Source organism: Homo sapiens, chromosome X (genome assembly GCF_000001405.40).
Source record: "Homo sapiens chromosome X, GRCh38.p14 Primary Assembly".
NCBI classification, from domain to species: Eukaryota; Metazoa; Chordata; class Mammalia; order Primates; family Hominidae; genus Homo; species Homo sapiens.
In genome coordinates, this window is record NC_000023.11 from 75,535,301 (window position 1) to 75,559,306 (window position 24,006).

General features: G+C 39.1%; 1 long non-coding RNA gene and 1 pseudogene across 10 annotated transcripts in view; one reads left to right on the top strand and one right to left on the bottom strand.

The window, feature by feature from the left end:
- Positions 1-24,006, top strand: part of LOC107985664 (uncharacterized) — a 270,484-nt gene that overhangs the window by 12,174 nt on the left and 234,304 nt on the right. The window lies entirely within an intron of this gene.
- Positions 2,049-2,497, bottom strand: PCNPP4 (PEST containing nuclear protein pseudogene 4; annotated as a pseudogene).

Sequence of the window (24,006 nt, forward strand, 5' to 3'; positions counted from 1 at the left end):
GTGGATTTTCTGTTTACTCTGCTGATTATTTCTTTTGCTGTGAAGAAGCTTTTTAGTTTAAGTCCAATCTATTTATTTTTGTTTTTGTTGCATTTGCTTTTGGGTTCTTGCTTATGAACTCTTTGCGTAGGCCAATGTCTAGAAGAATTTTTCCAAAGTTATCTTCTAGAAGTGATCAAAATATATACATTTAAAATAAACCATACAATTTTACTAGTAAGAAGCCTGTAGTTAAGTTTAATTCAAATTGAATTTCACAAGTTAGTAATCTAAATCCTTAGACAAAGTTACAGAAAGTGCATCTTCTTGTTTTCCATCTGCATACAATGTTAAATTTTTCTCTTCGGTGTTTATACCATTTAAAAAATAAACACAGCCTAATACTTAAGCAATATGTACATTTAAATTTTTGGTGGTGGTTTGTATTTTAAAATAAACAGCTTTCTTAGAATTTGCCTCAATTTCTGGTAGAAATGCTTACAGGAACTAGCTAATTAAAACTAAGAAAAGCACATTCAAAGTATTGATTTACTTTTAGCAAATGGTTGTTCTTTGAATACTAATGAAGATAGACAAGACCGATTAAGGTGAAGTGGGCTATTTCAAATATTCAACAGTTTACATGTGTGTGTGTGTGTGTGTGTGTGTGTGTGTGTTTTAGGCAGAGTCTTGCTCTGTCTTCCAGGCTGGAGTGCAGTGGCCCAATCTCAGCTCACTGCAACCTTTGCCTCCTGAGTTCAAGTGATTCTCCAGCTCAGCCTCCTGAGTAGCTAGACCACAGGTGCGCACCACCATGCGCAGATAATTTTTATATTTTTAGTAGACTGGGTTTCACCATGTTGGCCACGCCGGTCTCAAACTCCTGACCTCAACTGATCTGCCCACCTTGGCTTCCCAAAGTGTTGGGATTACAGGTGTGAGTCACCACGCCCAACCCCAGTTTACATAAATATTAAAAAAAGTTTTTTTATCTTTGCCTAGAAACTGCTATTTTTTAAAAAATTTTATTATTATACTTTAAGTTTTAGGGTACATGTGCACAATGTGCAGGTTTGTTACATATGTATACATGTGCCATGTTGGTGTGCTGTACCCATTAACTCGCGATGTACATTAGGTATATCTCCTAATGCTATCCCTCTCCCCTCCCCCAACCCCACAACAGGCCCTGGTGTGTGATATTCCCCTTCCTGTGTCCATGTGTTCTCATTGTTCAATTCCCACCTATGAGTGAGAACATGCGGTGTTTGGTTTTTTGTCCTTGAGATAGTTTGCTGAGAATGATGATTTCCAGCTTCATCCATGTCCCTACAAAGGACATGAACTCATCATTTTTTATGGCTGCATAGTATTCCATGGTGTATATGTGCCACATTTGCTTAATCTAGTCTACCATTGTTGGACATTTGGGTTGGTTCCAAGTCTTTCCTGTTGTGAATAGTGCCGCGATAAACATACGTGTGCATGTGTCTTTATAGCAGCATGATTTATAATCCTTTGGGTATATACCCAGTAATGGGATGGCTGGGTCAAATGGTATTTCTAGTTCTGGATCCCTGAGGAATTGCCACACTGACTTCCACAATGGTTGAACTAGTTTACAGTCCTACCAACAGTGTAAAAGTGTTGCTATTTCTCCATATCCTCTCCAGCACCTGTTGTTTCCTGACTTAAAGTTTTTAAGAGCTAAGCTTCTGTATCCACTGACAGAAATGCAATACCTAGTTTATGATGACTTGAAACAAAACAAATACCCATAAGGAAAAAGCTGTATTTTATCTAAATTTACTTTCAGTCAATAGTTAAGTAGCGTTTTCCTCCCAGTACTATATATAAGGCTGTTCTTGGGAGCCAGACGGTTTAGGTAATAAGGTAGCCAAGAAGGTAACTGCTTGTAGTTATAAATCGACAATAACTTTTTGCTTTTCTCTTAATTTGCTAATAGTTGTGTCTAAAAAATGCAATTCTTAAAAAGGTATCATTTCTGATTTTGTTGTCATCTGTAACCTGTGGAAACTAACCACATGAAACTACAATATTAGCAAATTTCTTGAAATCCATATAGAAAACATAAATTATCACTAATTTCAAACTCTGATTTATTAGTGTATCACTCAATCTTTAAAAAAAATGGAAAAGAAAAAGAAAAGCAGCTCCAAAGATAGTCTTATACCAGTCTTTAAAAAGGAAACTGTTTCATTTAACTTTACACCCACCCCACACTGCAGTTTCAAAACAGAGTATTTAATTGTCGTAGTCATGGGCATTACACCAAGATGAGGTTTTATATTTTGCTCCCATAGCTTTTGGTTAACAAAAAACACACGCTTCTTTTATTGAAGGAGTTTGGTCCAGCTGATGTTAATGTATTTCTTCCAATATTTTTAATCCTCATCTTTGCTTCTGGAGGCATTGCCTCAGGTTGACTACCTTCATCTTCATTAAAACCTGCTGCTACCAAAAGAATTTTTGAAGCAAGAGTTGGAACAGGTTCTTTTTTTTTTCTTTTATTATTATACTTTAAGTTTTAGGGTACATGTGCACATTGTGCAGGTTAGTTGCATATGTATACGTGTGCCATGCTGGTGCGCTGCACCCACTAACTCGTCATCTAGCATTAGGTATATCTCCCAATGCTATCCCTCCCCCTTCCCCCCACCCCACAACAGTCCCCAGAGTGTGATGTTCCCCTTCCTGTGTCCATGTGTTCTCATTGTTCAATTCCCACCTATGAGTGAGAACATGCGGTGTTTGGTTTTTTGTTCTTGCGATAGTTTACTGAGAATGATGATTTCCAATTTCATCCATGTCCCTACAAAGGACATGAACTCATCATTTTTTATGGCTGCATAGTATTCCATGGTGTATATGTGCCACATTTTCTTAATCCAGTCTATCATTGTTGGACATTTGGGTTGGTTCCAAGTCTTTGCTATTGTGAATAATGCCGCAATAAACATACGTGTGCATGTGTCTTTATAGCAGCATGATTTATAGTCCTTTGGGTATATACCCAGTAATGGGATGGCTGGGTCAAATGGTATTTCTAGTTCTAGATCTCTGAGGAATCGCCACACTGACTTCCACAATGGTTGAACTAGTTACACAGAACAGGTTCTTTAGGCTTACTTAATCTAAGTTTGATGGATATGGCTGATGCTTTCTTTGTCATGTGACTACCTGTGGTAGATCTAAACTTGATCTTTGTAGGCTTTGTTGGGAGGACTGCTGCTTCTTTTTCGGCTGATGGCTTCTCAGTGCTGCGACCAGAAGTTTTCCCTCCATTACTGGAATAAACAGCCTTAGTTTTCACCGTTTTTTCCACTTCTTCTTCAGGTCCTCCAGTGGCTCCAGCTCACTGCATCTTTTCAGCCTTCTCCTTCCCACCTTCCCATCTGCCATTTTGTGTGCCGTGGACTACCCTGCAACCAAGCCAAGCTCTTTCAGACTTTTTGCCGTAGGCATTTAATGCTATGAAGTTTCCTCTTAGCACCACTTCTGCTGTATCTCAGATGTTTTGATAGGTTGTGTCACTATTATCATTCCGTTCAAAGGATTTTTAAATTTCTATCTTAATTTTATTGTTGATCCAAAGATTATTCAGGAGCAGATTATTTAATTTCCACATATTTGTAAAGTTTTGAACATTCCTTTTTGTATTGGCTTCCAATTTTTTTCCACTGTGGTCAGCAAGAGTACTGATATAATTTTGATACTCTTAAATTTATTGAGACTTTTTTGTTGCCTATCTTATGGTCTATCTTGGAAAGTGTTCCATGTTCTGATAAAAAGATTATATATTCTGCAGTTGTTGGGTAGAATGTTCTGTAAATGTCTGTTAAGTTGATTTGTTCTAAGGGTATAGCTTAAGTCAATTGTTTCTTATTTGACTTTCTGTCTTGATGACCTGTCCAGTGCTGTCAGTGGAGTATTAGTTTCCCACTATTACTGTGTTGCCATCTGTCTCATTTCTTAGGCCTAGTAGTAACTGTTTTATTGTTTTTTAAAATTGTTTTATTAATTTGGGAGCTCCAGTGTTAGGTGCATATATATTGTGATATTTTCCTGTTGGCTAATTCTTTCATCATTATACAATGTCTCTCTCTGTCTTTTTAAACTGTTGAGGCTTTAAAATCTATTTTGTCTGGTATAAGAATAGCTACTCCTGCTTGCTTTTGGTTTTCATTTGCATTGAATATCTCTTTCCACCCCTTTACCTTATGTTTATGTGAGGCCATATGTGTTAGGTGAGTTTCTTGAAGACAGCAGATACTTTGTTGGTAGATTTTTATCCATTATGTCATTCTGTATCTTCTAAGCGAAGCGTTTAGGCAACTTACATATAACATTAGTATTGAGATGTGAGGTACCATTCTATTCATTGTGCTACTTGCTGCCTGAATATCTTTTTTTCCTTGTGTAATGGTTTATAGGCCCTGTGAGATTTATGCTTTAAGGAGGTTCTATTTTGCTGTATTTCAAGGTTTTGTTTCAAGATTTAGAACTCCGTTTAGCATTTCTTGTAGTGCTGGCTTGATAGTGGCAAATTCTCTAAGCATTTGTTTGTCTGAGAAAGACTTTATCTTTTCGGTATTAGTATGTTTACACACTGCTATAAAGGACTACCTGAGACTGGGTAATTTATAAAGAAAAGTGGTTTAATTGACTCACAGTTTCACATGGCTGTGGAGTCCTTATGAAACTTACAACTATGGCAGAAGGTGAAGCAGAAGCAAGGCATGTCTTATATGGTGGCAGGAGAGAGAAAGAAATGGGGAAAGTGCCACACTTTAAAACCATCAGACAGTGTGAGAACTCACTATCATAAGAACAGCATGGGGGAAATTCATTCCCATAATCTAATTACCTCCCACCAGGTCCCTCCCCTGACACAGGAATTACAATTCAACATGAGATTTGGGTGGGGACATAGAGCCCAACCATATCTTACCACCCCTGGCCTCTTTCAAATCTCATGTCTTTTCATGTCCTTTGCCCACTTTTTGATGGGGTTGTTTGTTTTTTTCTTGTAAATTTGTTTGAGTTCATTGTAGATTCTGGATATTAGCCCTTTGTCAGATGAGTAGGTTGTGAAAATTTTCTCCCATTTTGTAGGTTGCCTGTTCACTCTGATGGTAGTTTCTTTTGCTGTGCAGAAGCTCTTTGGTTTAATTAGATCCCATTTGTCAATTTTGGCTTTTGTTGCCATTGCTTTTGGTGTTTTATACATGAAGTCCTTGCCCAGGCCTATGTCCTGAATGGTTAATGCCTAGGTTTTCTTCTAGGGTTTTTATGGTTTTAGGTCTAACATTTAAGTCTTTAATCCATCTTGAATTGATTTTTGTATAAGGTGTAAGGAAGGGATCCAGTTTCAGCTTTCTACATCTGGCTAGCCAGTTTTCCCAGCACCATTTATTAAATAGGGAATCCTTTCCCCATTGCTTGTTTTTCTCAGGTTTGTCAAAGATCAGACACTTCTCAAAAGAAGACATTTATGCAGCCAAAAAACACATGAAAAAATGCTCACCATCACTGGCCATCAGAGAAATGCAAATCAAAACCACAATGAGATACCATTTCACTCCAGTTAGAATGGCAATCATTAAAAAGTCAGGAAACAACAGGTGCTGGAGAGGATGTGGAGAAATAGGAACACTTTTACACTGTTGGTGGGACTGTAAACTAGTTCAACCATTCTGGAAGTCAGTGTGGTGATTCCTCAGGGATCTAGAACTAGAAATACCATTTGACCCAGCCATCCCATTACTGGGTATATACCCAAATGACTATAAATCATGCTGCTTTAAAGACACATGCACACATATGTTTATTGCGGCATTATTCACAATAGCAAAGACTTGGAACCAACCCAAATGTCCAACAATGATAGACTGGATTAAGAAAATGTGGCACATATACACCATGGAATACTATGCAGCCATAAAAAATGATGAGTTCATGTCCTTTGTAGGGACATGGATGAAATTGGAAATCATCATTCTCAGTAAACTATCGCAAGAACAAAAAACCAAACATCGCATATTCTCACTCATAGGTGGGAATTGAACAATGAGAACACATGGACACAGGAAGGGGAACATCACACTCTGGGGACTGTTGTGGGGTGGGGGGAAGGGGGAGGGATAGCATTGGGAGATATACCTAATGCTAGATGACGACTTAGTGGGTGCAGCGCACCAGCATGGCAGATGTATACATATGTAACTAACCTGCACATTGTGCACATGTACCCTAAAACTTAAAGTATAATAATAATAAAAAAAGTGGAAAAAAAAATCTCATGTCTTTCTCACATTACAAAATCAATTATGAATTCCCAACAGTTCATCAAAGTCTTAACTCCTTTCAGCATTAACTCAAAGTTTCAAGTTCAGTGTCTCATCTGAGACAAAACAAGTTCATTTTGCCCATGATGGGAGGGGCTGCCATGAATGTCTCTGACTGACCTTGGAGACATTTTCCCCATTGTCTTGGCTATTAACATTCAGCTTCTCTTTAGTTATGCAAATTTCTGCAGCTGGCTTGAATTTCTTTCTAGAAAATGGGTTTTTCTTTTCTACCACAAAGTCAGCTGCAAATTTTTTAAACTTTTATGCTCCACTTTCCTTTTAAACGTAAGTTCCAATTTCAGACCAGCTGTTTGTGAATGCATATGACTGTACACTGTTAGGAGCAGCCGGGCAATATTTTGAATGCTTTGTTGCTTAGAAACTTTTTACTCCAGATACCCTAAATAACCTCTTTCACGTTCAAAGTTCCACGGATATTTGGGGAAGGGGCACAATGCCACTAGTGTTTTTTCATAACAAGAGTGACCTTTGCTTCAATTTCCAGTGAGTTTCTATCTTTATCTGAGACTACCTCAGCCTGGACTTCATTGTTTATATCACTATCAGAATTTTGGTCACAACCATTCAACACGTCTCTAGGAAGTTCCAAACTTTCCCAAATCTTCCTGTGTTCATCTGAGCTTTTCAAATTGTTTCAACCTCTGCCTGTTACCCAGTTACCAAGTCGCCTCCACATTTTCATGTATCTTTATAGCAGTGCTCCACTCGTCTGGTACAGAATTCCTATATCAGTCAATTTTCACACTGCTATAAAGAACTACCTGAGACTAGGTAATTTATAAAGAAAATAGGTTTAATTGATTCACAGTTCTGCATGCCTGGGGAGGCCTCAGAAATCTAACAATCATGGCAGAAGGTAAAGGGTAAGCAACGTATATGTTACATGACAGAATGAGAGAGCACAAGGTGGGGATGTGCCATACTTTTAAACCATCAGATCTTGTGAGAACTCACCCACTATCACAAGAACAGCATGAGGGAAATCTGCCTTCATGATTTAATAACCTCCCACCTGGTCCCTCCCCTGACATATGGGGATTATAATTCAACATGAGATTTGAGTGGAGACACAGAGCCAAACCATACCACCTTCACTTATGAAGCTTAATTTTGCTGAATACAAAATTCTTGGCTAATAATTACTTTGTTTAAGAAACCTAAAGATAGGACCCCAATCCTTTCTGGCTTCTAGGGTTTCTGCTTACAAATCTGTAGTTAGTCTGACAGATTTTCTTTTATAGGTTACCTGATGCTTTTGTCTCACCGCTCTTAATATTCTTTCCTTCATCTTGACTTTAGATAACCTGATGACTATGTTCCTAGGTGATAATCTTTTTGCAATAAATTTTCCAGGTGTTCTTTGGGCTTCTTATATTTGGATGTCTAGATCTCTAGCATGACGAGGGAAGTTTTCCTTGATTATTCCCTGAAATAAGTTTTCCAAACTTTTAGATTTCTTTTCTTTCTCAGGAAGAACAATTGTTTTCATGTTTGATTATTTAACATAATCCCAAATTTCTGGGAGGCTTTATTCATTTTTAATTTTTTTCTTTGTCTTTGATAGATTGGGTTAATTCAGATGCCTTTTCTTTGAGCTGTGAAATTCTTCTATTCATTTAATTATATTTTTTTAACATTTTCAGTGTATTTTGCATTTCTCTAAGTGTGTCTTTCACTTCCAGAAGTTGTGATTATCTTGTCTTTATGATAGCCGTTTCTCTGGAGGCTTTTTTATCTATATCCTATATTTTTAAAAACATTCTCTAAGTTGGTTTTCACTTTTCTCTGGTGCCTCCTTGAGTAGCTTAATAGTCATCCTTCTGAATTCTTTGGCAATTCAGATTTTTTTTCCTTGGTTGGGATCCATTGCTGGAGAGCTAGTGTGATCTTTTGGTGTTGTTATAGAACCTAGTTTTGTCATATTACCAGAATTACTTTTCTGGTTTCTTCTCATTTGGGTAGACTGTTTTGGTTGAAAAATCTGGAACTCAAGGGATGCTGTTCAGATTTTTTTGTCCCATGGGGTGATCTTTGATGTGGTGCTATCCCCCTTCACCTAGGGATAGGACTTCCTGAGAGCCAGACTGCAGTGATTGTGATTGCCCTCCTGGGTCTAAACACCCAGCAGGGCTACCTGACTTTTGGCTGGTGCTGAGGAATGTCTGCAAAAAGTCCTGTGATGTGACTCATCTTCAATCTCCCAGCTGTGGATACCAGCACCTGGTCCAGTGCTACAGTAGTAGCTCAGGAGTGTAGTGGACTCTGAGCGTCCTTGGTTGTAGTTTTGTTTAGTGCACCAGTTTTCTCAAATGCTTGTCATGCTGACAGTGAAGTTATGACATGGATGGATTCAGGACATCTGATTAGCCAGGGTGTTGCAGGCGGGGGAATTAGCTGTTGTTTTCTCCTTTGGAGCAGAGGTGTTCTGTTAGGAGTTGCTGTAATGGCTTGAGTTGGTTGGCCTCCAGCCAGGAGGTGGTGCTTTCAAGGACCACTAGCTGTGGTCGTAGAAGGAGGATACAATCTTGCCCTACATTGGCCAGGACAAATACTCCAGTTTCTTGGGTGATGGGTACAGTCATGGAACTCCCAAGAGCTTATGTCTTTTTCCTTTGGCTGCCAGAGTGCATAGAGAAAAACCATCAGGTGGGTGCAGGGTTAGACGGGTCTGAGCTCAGACTCTCCTTAAGTGGGGCTTGCTGTGGCCACTGTTGGAGATGTAGGGTGGTTATCAGGCCAATGAAGTTATGTTCCCAGGGGAATTATGGCTACCTCTACTGCATCATGCAGGTCACCAGAGAAGTGGGGAAAAGCCGGCAGTGACAGGCCTTCACCCAGCTTTCATGTAATCAGCAAAGCCAATCTCATTCCTGCTGTGCCCCACCAACAGCACTGAGTTTACATCCAGGCAACTGGTGAGCAGGGCAGGGACATTACCCCAGGCTTCAAGCATCCCCCTTGAGAAAGCAAGCAGGGTTCTCAGGCCTCATCCCTCCCTTCCTGCCTGCACCTTCAGCTGAGGCTTCTGTGCTTGTATGTGCACTTCTGGTTTGCCCCTGCCCCACCCCCCCACCCCCGCCACCCAGATTCTTCTCAGGAAAATTTGTGCTCAATAGAAATTATTACAAGCTTCAGCTATGAGCTTCCTTCACCCTGTGAGCCCTGCTCAATTCTTTCTGGCTGCTTTTCCTTCCCCAAGGACCTCTGTTAGATAAGGAATGGCTTCCCTAAGCTTGAGCTGGGGACCAAGAGTGCCTACAGGTTTCTTCCTGCTCCTCCTTCTACTTTCGTATTTTGCTCAGCTCTCTAAATCCACTTCAGCTCTAGGTAAGGTTAAATCCTTCTCCCAGATCTGGATTTTCAGGTTTCTCAGTGGTTATGTGTGTTCGGAGGCAGACTTCCTTTCTCTCACTTTGGGAACTCATAATTTTTTGGCTGTCTTACAGAGTTTTCAGCAGCAAGCTGCTTCTTTCAAAGGGGCTGTGAATTATTTTGATCTTCCTGGTGTGTTCCTGTGGTGGTTCTTGGAGCAAAAGTTTACAGTGTGAATCTTCAGACACTGTTCTGTTCATCCAAGCGAGAGCTGCACTCTGGTTCTGTCTTCTATCTGCCATTTTTTAACCACCTCCTGTTTTTTCTTTAAAATATCTATCTCTTTAGACATTTTTCATTTATATCCCAAATTATTCTTAATTTTTTTTATGTTGGTGTTCACCTTTCTTTTGTATCTTCATGAGTAACTTAATCATTAACTTTTTGCATTCTTTATCTGACATTTCAAGGATTTTATCTTGGTTTGGATCCATTGCTGGAGAGCTAGTGTGGTATTTTTGGGACCTTATAGAACCCTGTTTTTTCATTTTGCCAGAATTAGTTTTTGGCTTCTTCTCATTTTGATAAACTGTTTCTTCTGTTTTGAATTTATTTTTTTATTTGACTACATTTTTAGAAATTTCTTTTTTTCTCCTTAGGGATATGACTTAAATGTTTATGGTTCATTGTAACCTAATTTGACTCTGGATGCTTTTAGTGGTGAAGACTCTGTATGAGTTCCTTGGTTACAGAGAGTCTTTGTATGATGGCTTTCTCAGAAGCTGGTTATAGTAGCGATATACTTGGTGTGTGAGCAGGTTCACTGTCTCTTCTGGGGTTTGAAAGGCAGAAGTCTCATGAAGTTTATCTTGCTCCCAGTGGTGTGCACTGTTATTTATTTGTTTTTCTTTCCAGTATTTTTTTCTCTCATTTGAACAGTTCAGGCTTCAGGCCAGTAAGCAGTGTCTATGGGTAAAAACTGTGCATGGCTAAGGCAAATGGGTAAATACAATACCTAAAGTTGCACAGAGGTCCCAGCCTTGATAGAAGTGGCTGTGGGAGCTCTCAGTGAAACATACTGTCTTTTCAGGGGGAAGGGAGGGAGCCACCTCAGCTCCCCTGCCAGGCCAGCAGGAAAGCGATCTACCTCCAAGTCACAGTCCTGACCCAGTGTTCCAGCTATACAGATTAGACAGGCACCCTTTTCACTAGCAGAAATGCTGATGTTTCACATAGAAAAGGATCGTTACTCTACCCTTCATGCAAGCCTGAACCTGGAGGGTGCTCCTCCTCTGGGGATGCAGTCACCCTGAAGTTCTCTAGAAAGGCTGTCTACAGGTTTACCCACCACTGAGCTCTTATGGGAGAAGCCTCAGCTATGTCAGCATTGGTGGGCAAGGGGAAGAAGTCACCTTCTCTAGCACCCTTCACAAGTACCAGGGCTGCTTGTTTGGGTAGAGCCACAGACTTTCTCCACTGAGTCTAGTACTGCTCCTGTGCCTGTGCTTAAAGAAACTTTTCACAAGCAGAAAGTTCTGGAACTCAAAGCCAGCTGTCTGGATTCTTTTGTCCCACAGGGTACTTTTTTGATGTGGTACACTCTCCCCTCCCCTAGGAGTAAGAGTCCCTGAGGGATGAGCTACTGTGAATCATGCTGCTCTTCTGGGCCTACCCACCTAGTGGAACTGCCACACTTAGGGATGGTGCTGGGGCATGTCTGCAAGGGATCCAGTGATGTGACATTTCCTCAAGTCTCCCAGCAGCAGGTATCAGCACCAACTCTCACTCTCCTGTCACTGCCATCAGTTAGATTTCCTTGGTTATAAATAGTCTTAGTGTGTTGGCTTTCTCAAGTGCCAGTTGTAGTAGTAATGAGCTAGTCATGTGGACAGACTCAAGACTTCCTGGTTAACCAGGGTGCTGCAAGCAATGGTGATAGCTGAGGTCTTATACAAGTTTTCTTGTTCCTGGACACTGTGTTACTTTGCTTACATATACTGTATTGGACCATATTGATTGGCCTCCAGCCAGGAGGTGGTGCTTATAAGAGAGCACCAGCTGCAGTGGTGGCAGTGGGAATTGTGCCTGCCTTATATTACCCAGGGAAGGTAATCTGGTGTCTCAGACAATGAGCAGGGCCATAGAGCTCCCAAAAGTTTCTGTGTTTTGTACTAAGCTACCAGGGCAGGTGGAAGGGCAAAGCCAAGTGGGGGTTGAGTCAGTCAAGTCTGCACTCTGACTCCCCATGTGCAGTTGTAAGCAGCAGCCCCAGTGGGGATCAGATGGCAATTATTTGGTCACTGATATAATGTTCCATGGAGGAGTACAGCTGCTTCCGCTGCACGGAAGAATCTGCATTTAGGGGAGGGAGTAGCAGGGAGCAGTAAGCCCCACCCAGCTCCCACACAATTGGCAAGGCATGTTTCACACACCACAGTGTTCCACTAGGAGCAGCTAGATAGATTCTAGGCAGTCTACACTCAGAACTCAAAACTGCCCCAGGCCATAAGTCTTCTCCCTCAAGACAGAAACCATGGCTTTCAGGCCAGGGCCCACCCACTCCACACTTGCACCTGTGGCTATAGCACTCTTCCTCCTTGCCCCTCGGTTCTGGTTAAGGGGGTTTGTCCCACTCGAGATTATATTATGAATCTCAGTTGGGAGCTTCTATCAACCTGGGACTGCCATCTGAGTTATCCAGCTGACTTGTGCAAGGTCCCCTATGAGGTAGGATCAGGAATGGCTTCCCTCCATTCTTTCTGGAGTCTGGGAGTGCATGCAAAGTACATGCTGATGCTGCTCCTCCTCATGTACTCTCACCGGTCACAGCTCCAGAACTGGATAGGGTTAAGGCCTTCCACTGTGGGCTGTTTGCCAGGTTCCCCAGTGGAGACTATATCTTGGAGGCAGTCTCTCCCCTTATTGCACTCTGAGGACTTAATAGCTTTCTGCCTGGCTCACGGTGTAGGCTGCAGCCCGCTGCTTCTTTCAAAGGATCTGTGGTTTCTTTCTGTTTCCCTGTTAAGTTCCTGTGTTGCTTCTTGGAAAAAAGTTCACAGCTTGTTGCTACATAACCATGTTGGTTGGCCTCCAGCCAGGATGTGGTGCTTGTAAGAGAGCACCAACTGCAGTGGTAGCAGTGGGAATTGTGCCTGCCTTATATTACCCAGGGAAGGTAATCTGGTGTCTCAGGCAATGAGCAGGGCCATAGAGCTCCCAAAAGTTCTGTGTTTTGTGTTAAGCTACCAGGGCAGGTGGAAGTGCAAAGCCAAGTGGGAGCTGACAGTGTTTTGTGAGGGTTATCCATGTAGTTCATTCTTTTCATGGCTGAATAACATTTGACTGTATGGATATACTACATTTTGTTGTAGTTTGGTAGACATGTGGGTTGTTTCTACTTTTTTGGCTATGTACATTGTGTGTATGTCTTTTGTGTGAACATATTTTTCTTTTCTTTTTTTTCTTTTGAGATGGAGTCTTGCTCTGTTGCCTAGGCTGGAGTACAGTGGCACAATCTCAGCTCACTGCAACCTCCACCTCCCTGGTTCAAGCAATTCCCCTGGCTCAGCCTCCCGAGTAGCTGGGATTACAGGCACACACCATCACGCCAGGCTAATGTTTTTGTATTTTTAGTGGAAATGGGGTTTCACCATGTTGGCCAGACTGGTATTGAACTCCTGACCTCAGGCAATCCACACGCCTCAGCCTCCCAAAGTGCTGGGATTACAGATGTGAGCCACTGCACCTGGCCAGTATCCCTTTTCTACAGCCATATTAAAACAGCTACAAACACTTATTTTCCTATTTAGTTTTACTTTCTGTGCATATCAAAGTTGTACTCTTCAGACCAACAAACCAACATGAGGCAAATTACATAGCTTCCCATATACCCTTGTTTCCTCATGTGCTAATCAAAGGCTCTGAAAATGGATACTGCTTTAATATTGTCTGCTTTATTCTTAAAGTGCTCATTCTTTTACTAGATGTAAAGATTTGGTGTTAACAAAAGGGGTTTTAATATGTAAATATGAATGAATGCCTTTAGTTTACCCCTGTTTGTCTATTATTATTAGTCTGTTTTCATTTATACTTCATAGAGGCGGATCCTTTCATGATCTTGAATACATTTCACTAGATATTGTTGCATTTTAAGAATGAAAGTACAGCTGTTTTCTGTCTTAGATTAATTGTGCTGCTGCTATGAGAAACTGAAAATCAAGAATGTGATGCACTTTTTACATTACTATATACCATATATATACCATAGCTTGCTTTGATACCTTTCCTGTAGCACAGCCACTAACAAGAGTGAGTGAATTATAAAATTCTCTTTGGGAAGGAATCAGTGCAAGTAACTAATTCTTAGCTGGTATTGGCCTATGAAGGACAGTAACTTAGGAACTTAAGATTTCTGTTAATAGTACACTTTTTGGCCTTAAATGTCTCCTACTACTGAAAATAGTTTAAATATTAGCTTTGTTTCTATTACTCCCTCTCTCTGCCTCAGCAAGGGGAATTGGGAAGAATGGCTTAAAGGATGTAGTGTCATTGATTTGTTGCTGAACTTTTAGAAAACATTAATCTATGTATGCTGGGGACTTATATTTTGTTTATATATAGAGGAGAAATAATGCTGCCCTGAACCACTCACATTTAGTATAAATCACATCAATCAAAACCTGGCAGAGGCACAACAAAAAAAGAAAATTTCAGGCCAATATCCTTGATGAACATCAATACGAAAATCCTCAATAAAATGATGGCAAACCGAATCCAGCAGCACATCAAAAAGCTCATCCACCACAATCAAGTCGGCTTCATGTCTGGGATGCAAGGCTGGTTCAACATATGCAAATCAATAAATGTAATCCATCACATAAACATAACCAATGACAAAAACCACATGATTATATCAATAGATGCAGAAAAGGTCTTCCATAAAATTCAATACCCCTTCATGCTAAAAACTCTCAATAAACTAGGTATTGATGGAATGTACCTCAAAATAAAAAAGAGCTATTTATGACAAACCCACAGCCAATATCATAATGAATGGGCAAATGCTGGAAGCATTCCCTTTGAAAACCAGCACAAGACAAGGATGGCCTCTCTCACCACTCCTATTCAACAGAGTATTGGAAGTTCTGGCCAGGGCAATCAGGCAAGACAAAGAAATGAAGGGTATTGAAATAGGAAGAGAGAAAGTCAAATAGTCTCTGTTTGAAGATGACATGATTGTATATTTATAAAACCCCATCATCTCACCCCAAATCTCCTTAAACTGATAGCAACTTCAGCAAAGTCTCAGGATACAAAATCAATGTGCAAAAATCACAAGAATTCCTATACACCAATAATAGACAATCAGGGAACCAAATCATGAGTGAACTCCCATTCACAATTGCCACAAAGTGAATAAAATACCTAGGAATACAACTTACAAGGGATGTGAAAGACCTCCTCAAGAACTACAAACCACTGCTCAAGGAAATAAATAAAAAAGGACACAAACAAATGGAAAAACATTCCATGCTCATGGATAGGAAGAATCAATATTGTGAAAATGGCCATACTGTCCAAAGTAATTTATAGATTCAGTGCTATCCCCATCAAGCTACTATTGACTTTCTTCACAGAATTGCAAAAAAAAACTACTTTAAATTTCATATAGAACCAAAAAAGAGCCCGTATAGCTAAGACAATTGTAAGCAAAAAGAAAAAAGCTGGAAGCATCACACTACCTGACTTCAAACTATGCTACAAGGATACAATAACCAAAACAGCATGGTACTGCTACCAAAACAGATATATAGACCAATGGAACAGAAGAGAGGCCTCAGAAATAATGCCACACATCTACAACCATCTGATCTTTGACAAACCTGACAAAATCAAGCAATGGGGAAAGGATTACTTATGGTCTTGGGAAAACTGGCTAGCCATATGCAGAAAACTGAAACTGGACCTCTTCCTTACACCTTATACAAAAATTAACTCAAGAAGGATTAAAGACTAAAATGTAAGACTTACAACCATAAGAACCCTAGAAGAAAACCTAGGCAATACCATTCAGGACATAGGCATGGGCAAAGACTTCATGACTAAAACAACAAAAGCAATGACCAAAGCCAAAATTGACAAATGGGATCTGATTAAACTAAAGAGCTTCTGCACAGCAAAAGAAACTATCATCAGAGTGCACAGGCAACCTACAGAATGGGAGAAAATTTTGCAATCTGTCTATGTGACAAAAGGCTAATATACAGGATCTACAAAGAACTTAAACAAATTTACAAGAAAACAACAAACAACCCCATCAAAAATGGGTGAAGGATATGAACAGACACTTCTCAAAAGAAGACATTTATGCAGCCAACAAACATATGAAAAAAAGCTCATCATCACTGGTCATTAGAGAAATGCAAATCGAAACCACAATGAGATACCATCTCACGCCAGTTAGAATGGTGATTATTAAAAAGCCAGGAAACATCAGATGCTGGAGAGGATGTGGAGAAATAGGAACACTTTTACACTGTTGGTGGGAGTGTAAAGTAGTTCAACTATTGTGGAAGACAGTGTGGTGATTCCTCAGGGATCTAGAACGAGAAATACCATTTGACCCAGCAATTCCATTACTGGTTATATACCCAAAGGATTATAAATCATTCTACTATAAGGACACATGCACATGTATGTTTATTGCAGCACTGTTCACAATAGTAAAGACTGGGAACCAACCCAAATGCCCATCAATGACAGACTGGATAAAGAAAATGTGGCACATATACACCATGCAATACTATGCAGCCATAAAAAGGATGAGTTCATCTCTTTTGCAGGGACATGGATGAAGGTGGAAACATCATTCTCAGCAAACTAACACAAGAACAGAAAACTAAACACTGCATGTTCTCATTCATAAGTGGGAGTTGAATAATTTTAACACATGGACACAGGGAGGGGAACATCACACACTGGTACCTGTCAAGGGAGTAGGGGGCTAGGGGAGGGATAGCATTAGGAGAAATATCTAATGTAGATGATGGGTTGATGGGTGCAACAAACCACCATGGCACATGTATACCTATGTAACAAACCTGCACATTCTGCAACATGTATCCCAGAACTTAGAGTATAATAAAAATATTAAAAAATTAAATTATTGAAGAAATAACTCCAACTATTCTGTTTATCTTATATATTTTTACTTAGCAAAGGAAAACTTTAGGAAGAATGCTACTTGATAAGAAGAAAAGTAATTTCTCAAGCACATACCGAAACTTGAAGGTGATTGAACCAAAAATAATAGGTGGGCAACACCGAATGAGTTGGAGGAGTATGAGAAAGATGTGTGGGCCAAAGCTATCTGGTTATATTTTGATGTTGCCAATATCACAAAGTCAAAATTTTAATTTTCTTATTTAATATATTTGTTGGCCAGAGAGCTATTTTTGTATCAATGTGCCTTGCACGTACGTTAAAAAAATTTTTGAAAGGCCATGTAGTAATGCCTGAGATAGTTGATGGTTCTTACCACCTCATTAATTTTTATGCAGTATGAAATGCTCATTCTGTTGTCCAAATGGTGTTCTCTATTTATAGATCTTGTCAAACTGGAACTATTTTATAAGCTGGGGATGTTGATTTACTGTTTTTGTTGTGTCTTTTTTGTTGTTAGTCTGTTAGTGGCTGTTCTGTAGTGGGAAATAGTAAAAGGATTCTTCACTCCCTTTTCTTTTCCCCTCAGCACCTTCTTCAAGTAATGTGATGACACCATTTCTTGTGTGCTTTGAAAAAAGTTTCAGCTTGCTGCCTCCTTTAGTGTTTTAAAGAAGTGTTATACAAAGCATTGTTTGCAGAATGTAGGGAGATAATGGAGTCCACTTTAATTTGGAATTCTGTATGAGCTATGTTCCAAATTATCAGCTCTTTCTAACTTTAAAAATTCTGTTGTTAAAAGCACCTTGCTTAGAAAATTTTAAATATCTATGTCTGCAACAATTTTCTCAAAATAATAAGCTGTGCAATTCTTGTCATTAAAGAAAAGATTGAATTCTCCCTAATGTGACTTGTTAGTTTCTCTGTGTATTTCCTGACAGTGTAAATGTGAAAGCTTTGCTTGCATTAAGTTTTAGAAATGCATTTTGCACACTCTAATTTTGCCGAAGCTCCATGAAAAGGTTAGATCTAAGTAGATGAATAAAGCTATGCACATGTTTTGAAAGTTTAATTTGTGTGTCATTACCAAAAGTGACCTATTTGTCCTTATTAGTTTGCTGTTCTTAGCTTTACCATCTTTGGAAACTTGGCTCAAAGTTATATAGTTCTGGGCTAGCTCATCAGTGGAACTAGGAGAGAGGAAAACTGGCACCTATTTTAATAAAGTTCAATTTAAATGAAAAAATAGTTTACAGTATAGTATTGTTAACAATGCTGTACATTAGATCTCCAAAACTTATTTATCTCAGATAAATAAAACTTTGTACACTTTGACCATTTCCCCATTTCCCACTCCACGCCTGCTGCCCACCCCCCAACCCTGGCCCCACCAAGCCCCCTGGAAATCACCATTCTACTTTTTGCTTCTATGAGTTTGGCTATCTTTAGATTCCACATATAAGTGATTGTGCAATATTCACTTATATATGTTGTTTTGAGCCTGGCTTATTTCACTTACCGTGTTGTACAGGTTCATCCATGTTGTTGGGAATGGCAGGAGTTTCTTCTTTATAAGGCTGAGAATATTTCTACTATACACACATACACTCACACACAAATACATATATATGTATACACACACACACACACACACACACACACACACCCTACATTTTTTTAATCCATTCGTCTGTTATGGACATGTATATTGTTTTCATATCTCGACTATTGTGAATAATGCTGCAGTGAGCATAGGAATGCAGATATCTCTTTGAGGTGCTGATTTCACTTCCTTTGAGTATGTACCCAGAAGAGGAATTGCTGGGTCAAATGATAGTTCTATTTTTATTTATTTGACGAGCCTCTATGCTGTTTTCTGTAATGGCTTACCAATTTACATTTTTATCAACAACGTATGAATGTTTCATTTTTTCCACATCCTCACCAATGCTTATTATATTTTGACTTTTTGGTAATATTTATTTTAACAGGTATGAGGTGATATCTCATGAATATTTGATTTGCATTTTCATATACCTGTTGCCTGTTTGTATGTCTTCTTTGGAAAAATGTCTATTCAAGTTTTTTGCCCATTTTTAATCTGGTTTTCCTTATTTGCTTTTGAGTTGTGTGAGTTCCTTATATATTTTGGATATTAACACTTTACCAGATGTATAGTTTCCAAACAGTTTCTCCCATTCTGTAAACTGCCGTTTCACTGTGTTATTTCCTTTGCAGTGCAGAAGCTTTTTAGGTGGATGTAATCCCACTTGTTTATTTTACTTTTATTCTCACTGTTTTTGTGTCCGATCCAAGAAATAACTGTGAAGACCAATGTCACGGAGCTTTCACCAGAATTTTATGTTTTCATTTTTTATGTTTAAGTCTTTAATCCATTTTGAATTGTTTTTGGTGAATGGTGTAAGATAAGTGTTCAATCTAATTATTTTGCATGGAGATAATCTAGATTTCCTATACCTCATCTTAGCCAAAAGGCTGAAAAGCAATATATTAAGTTTTTCTAATACAGTGTATTGAGACTGTTCTTTGAACATTTTGTATTCTTGGCAATCTTGTGGAAGAGCAGTTGGCTGTGTATTTATGGGTTTATTTCTGGGCTCCCTATGTTTTTCCATTGTTCTTTGTGTCTGTTTTTATGGCAGTATCATACTGTTTTTATTACTATAGATTTGTAATATACTTTGAAATTTGAAATCAAGAAGTGTGAGGCCAGATTTGATATACTTTTTCAAGATCATTTTGGCTATTCAGAGTCTTTTGTAGTTTCATATGACGACTAAGATTGGTTTTTCTCTTTCTGTGAAAAATGCCATTGGAATTTTGATGGGGAACACGAATTTGTAAACATCTTAAGGTGGTATGGACAGTTTAACAGCATTAATTCTTACATTTCATGGATATGGAATATCTTGTGATTTATTTGTGCCTGCTTTAATTTCTTCATTGTTTTGTAGTTTTCTTTATTTTTATTTTTATTTTTTTTTATTTTTTTTCTTCTTTTTTTTATTATACTTTAAGTTTTAGGGTACATGTGCACATTGTGCAGGTTAGTTACATATGTATACATGTGCCATGCTGGTGTGCTGCACCCACTAACTCGTCATCTAGCATTAGGTATATCTCCCAATGCTATCCCTCCCCCTTCCCCCCACCCCACCACAGTCCCCAGAGTGTGATATTCCCATTCCTGTGTCCATGTGATCTCATTGTTCAATTCCCACCTATGAGTGAGAATATGCGGTGTTTGGTTTTTGGTTCATGCGATAGTTTACTGAGAATGATGATTTCCAATTTCATCCATGTCCCTACAAAGGACATGAACTCATCATTTTTTATGGCTGCATAGTATTCCATGGTGTATATTTGCCACGTTTTCTTAATCCAGTCTATCATTGATGGAGATTTGGGTTGGTTCCAAGTCTTTGCTATTGTGAATAATGCCGCAATAAACCTATGTGTGCATGTGTCTTTATAGCAGCATGATTTATAGTCCTTTGGGTATATACCCAGTAATGGGATGGCTGGGTCAAATGGTATTTCTAGTTCTAGATCCCTGAGGAATCGCCACACTGACTTCCACAAGGGTTGAACTAGTTTACAGTCCCACCAACAGTGTAAAAGTGTTCCTATTTCTCCACATCCTCTCCAGCACCTGTTGTTTCCTGACTTTTTAATGATCACCATTCTAACTGGTGTGAGATGGTATCTAATTGTGGTTTTGATTTGCATTTCTCTGATGGCCAGTGATGATGAGCATTTTTTCATGTGTTTTTTGGCTGCATAAATGTCTTCTTTTGAGAAGTGTCTGTTCATGTCCTTCGCCCACTTTTTGATGGGGTTGTTTGTTTTGTTCTTGTAAATTTGTTTGAGTTCATTGTAGATTCTGGATATTAGCCCTTTGTCAGATGAGTAGGTTGCAAAAATTTTCTCCCATTCTGTAGGTTGCCTGTTCACACTGACGGTAGTTTCTTTTGCTGTGCAGAAGCTCTTTAGTTGAATTAGATCCCATTTGTCAATTTTGGCTTCGGTTGCCATTGCTTTTGGTGTTTTGGACATGAAGTCCTTGCCCATGCCTATGTCCTGAATGGTAATGCCTAGGTTTTCTTCTAGGGTTTTTATGGTTTTAGGTCTAACGTTTAAGTCTTTAATCCATCTCGAATTGATTTTTGTATAAGGTGTAAGGAAGGGATCCAGTTTCAGCTTTCTACATCTGGCTAGCCAGTTTTCCCAGCACCATTTATTAAATAGGGAATCCTTTCCCCATTGCTTGTTTTTCTCAGGTTTGTCAAAGATCAGATAGTTGTAGATATGCGGTGTTATTTCTGAGGGCTCTGTTCTGTTCCATTGATCTATATCTCTGTTTTGGTACCAGTACCATGCTGTTTTGGTTACTGTAGCGTTGTAGTATAGCCTGAAGTCAGGTAGTGTGATGCCTCCAGCTTTGTTCTTTTGGCTTAGGATTGACTTGGCGATGCGGGCTCTTTTTTGGTTCCATATGAACTTTAAAGTAGTTTTTTCCAATTCTGTGAAGAAAGTCATTGGTAGCTTGATGGGGATGACATTGAATCTGTAAATTACCTTGGGCAGTATGGCCATTTTCACGATATTGATTCTTCCTACCCATGAGCATGGAATGTTCTTCCATTTGTTTGCATCCTCTTTTATTTCCTTGAGCAGTGGTTTGTAGTTCTCCTTGAAGAGGTTCTTCACATCCCTTGTAAGTTGGATTCCTAGGTATTTTATTCTCTTTGAAGCAATTGTGAATGGGATTTCACTCATGATTTGGCTCTCTGTTTGTCTGTTATTGGTGTATAAGAGTGCTTGTGATTTTTGTACATTGATTTTGTATCCTGAGACTTTGCTGAAGTTGCTTATCAGCTTAAGGAGATTTTGGGCTGAGACGAAGGGGTTTTCTAGATATACAATCATGTCATCTGCAAACAGGGACAATTTGACTTCCTCTTTTCCTAATTGAATACCCTTTATTTCCTTCTCCTGCCTAATTGCCCTGGCCAGAACTTCCAGCACTATGTTGAATAGGAGTGGTGAGAGAGGGCATCCCTCTCTTGTGCCAATTTTCAAACGGAATGCTTCCAGTTTTTGCCCATTCAGTATGATATTGGCTGTGGGTTTGTCATAGATAGCTCTTATTATTTTGAGATACATCCCATCAATACCTAATTTATTGACAGTTTTTAGCATGAAGGGTTGTTGAATTTTGTCAAAGGCTTTTTCTGCATCTATTGAGATAATCATGTGGTTTTTGTCTTTGGCTCTGTTTATATGCTGAATTACATTTATTGATTTGCATATATTGAACCAGCCTTGCATCCCAGGGATGAAGCCCACTTGATCATGGTGGATAAGCTTTTTGATGTGCTGCTGGATTCGGTTTGCCAGTATTTTTTTGAGGATTTTTGCATCAATGTTCATCAAGGATATTGGTCTAAAATTCTCTTTTTTGGTTGTGTCTCTGCCCGGCTTTGGTATCAGAATGATGCTGGCCACATAAAATGAGTTAGAGAGGATTCCCTCTTTTTCTATTGATTGGAATAGTTTCAGAAGGAATGGTACCATTTCCTCCTTGTACCTCTGGTAGCATTCGGCTGTGAATCCATCTCGTCCTGGACTCTTTTTAGTTGGTAAACTATTGATTATTGCCACAATTTCGGCTCCCGTTATTGGTCTATTCAGAGATTCAACTTCTTCCTGGTTTAGTCTTGGGAGAGTGTATGTATCGAGGAATTTATCCATTTCTTCTAGATTTTCTAGTTTATTTGCATAGAGGTGTTTGTAGTATTCTCTGATGGTAGTTTGTATTTCTGTGGGATCGGTGGTGGTATCTCCTTTATCATTTTTTATTGTGGCTATTTGATTCTTCTCTCTTTTTTTCTTTATTAGTCTTGCTAGCAGTCTATCAATTTTGTTGATCCTTTCAAAAAACCAGCTCCTGGATTCATTAATTTTTTGAAGGGTTTTTTGTGTCTCTATTTCCTTCAGTTCTGCTCTGATTTTAGTTATTTCTTGCCTTCTGCTAGCTTTAGAATGTGTTTGCTCTTGCTTTTCTAGTTCTTTAATTGTGATGTTAGGGTGTCAATTTTGGATCTTTCCTGCTTTCTCTTGTGGGCATTTAGTGCTATAAATTTCCCTCTACACACTGCTTTGATTGCGTCCCAGAGATTCTGGTATGTTGTGTCTTTGTTCTCGTTGGTTTCAAAGAACATCTTTATTTCTGCCTTCATTTCGTTATGTATCCAGTAGTCATTCAGGAGCAGGTTGTTCAGTTTCCATGTAGTTGAGCAGTTTTGAGTGAGATTCTTAATCCTGAGTTCTAGTTTGATTGCACTGTGGTCTGAGAGATAGTTTGTTATAATCTCTGTTCTTTTACATTTGCTGAGGAGAGCTTTACTTCCAAGTATGTGGTCAATTTTGGAATAGGTGTGGTGTGGTGCTGAAAAAAATGTGTATTCTGTTGATTTGGAGTGGAGAGTTCTGTAGATGTCTATTAGATCCGCTTGGTGCAGAGCTGAGTTCAATTCCTGGGTATCCTTGTTGACTTTCTGTCTCGTTGATCTGTCTAATGTTGACAGTGGGGTATTAAAGTCTCCCATTATTAATGTGTGGGAGTCTACGTCTCTTTGTAGGTCACTGAGGATTTGCTTTATGAATCTGGGTGCTCCTGTATTGGGTGCATATATATTTAGGATAGTTAGCTCTTCTTGTTGAATTGATCCCTTTACCATTATGTAATGGCCTTCTTTGTCTCTTTTGATCTTTGTTGGTTTAAAGTCTGTTTTATCAGAGACTAGGATTGCAACCCCTGCCTTTTTTTGTTTTCCATTTTCTTGGTAGATCTTCCTCCATCCTTTTATTTTGAGCCTATGTGTGTCTCTACACATGAGATAGGTTTACGGAATACAGCACACTGATGGGTCTTGACTCTATCCAATTTGCCAGTCTGTGTCTTTTAATTGGAGCATTTAGTCCATTTACATTTAAAGTTAATATTGTTATGTGTGAATTTGATCCTGTCATTATGATGTTAGCTGGTGATTTTGCTGATTAGTTGATGCAGTTTCTTCCTAGTCTTGATGGTCTTTACATTTTGGCATGATTTTGCAGCGGCTGGTACCGGTTGTTC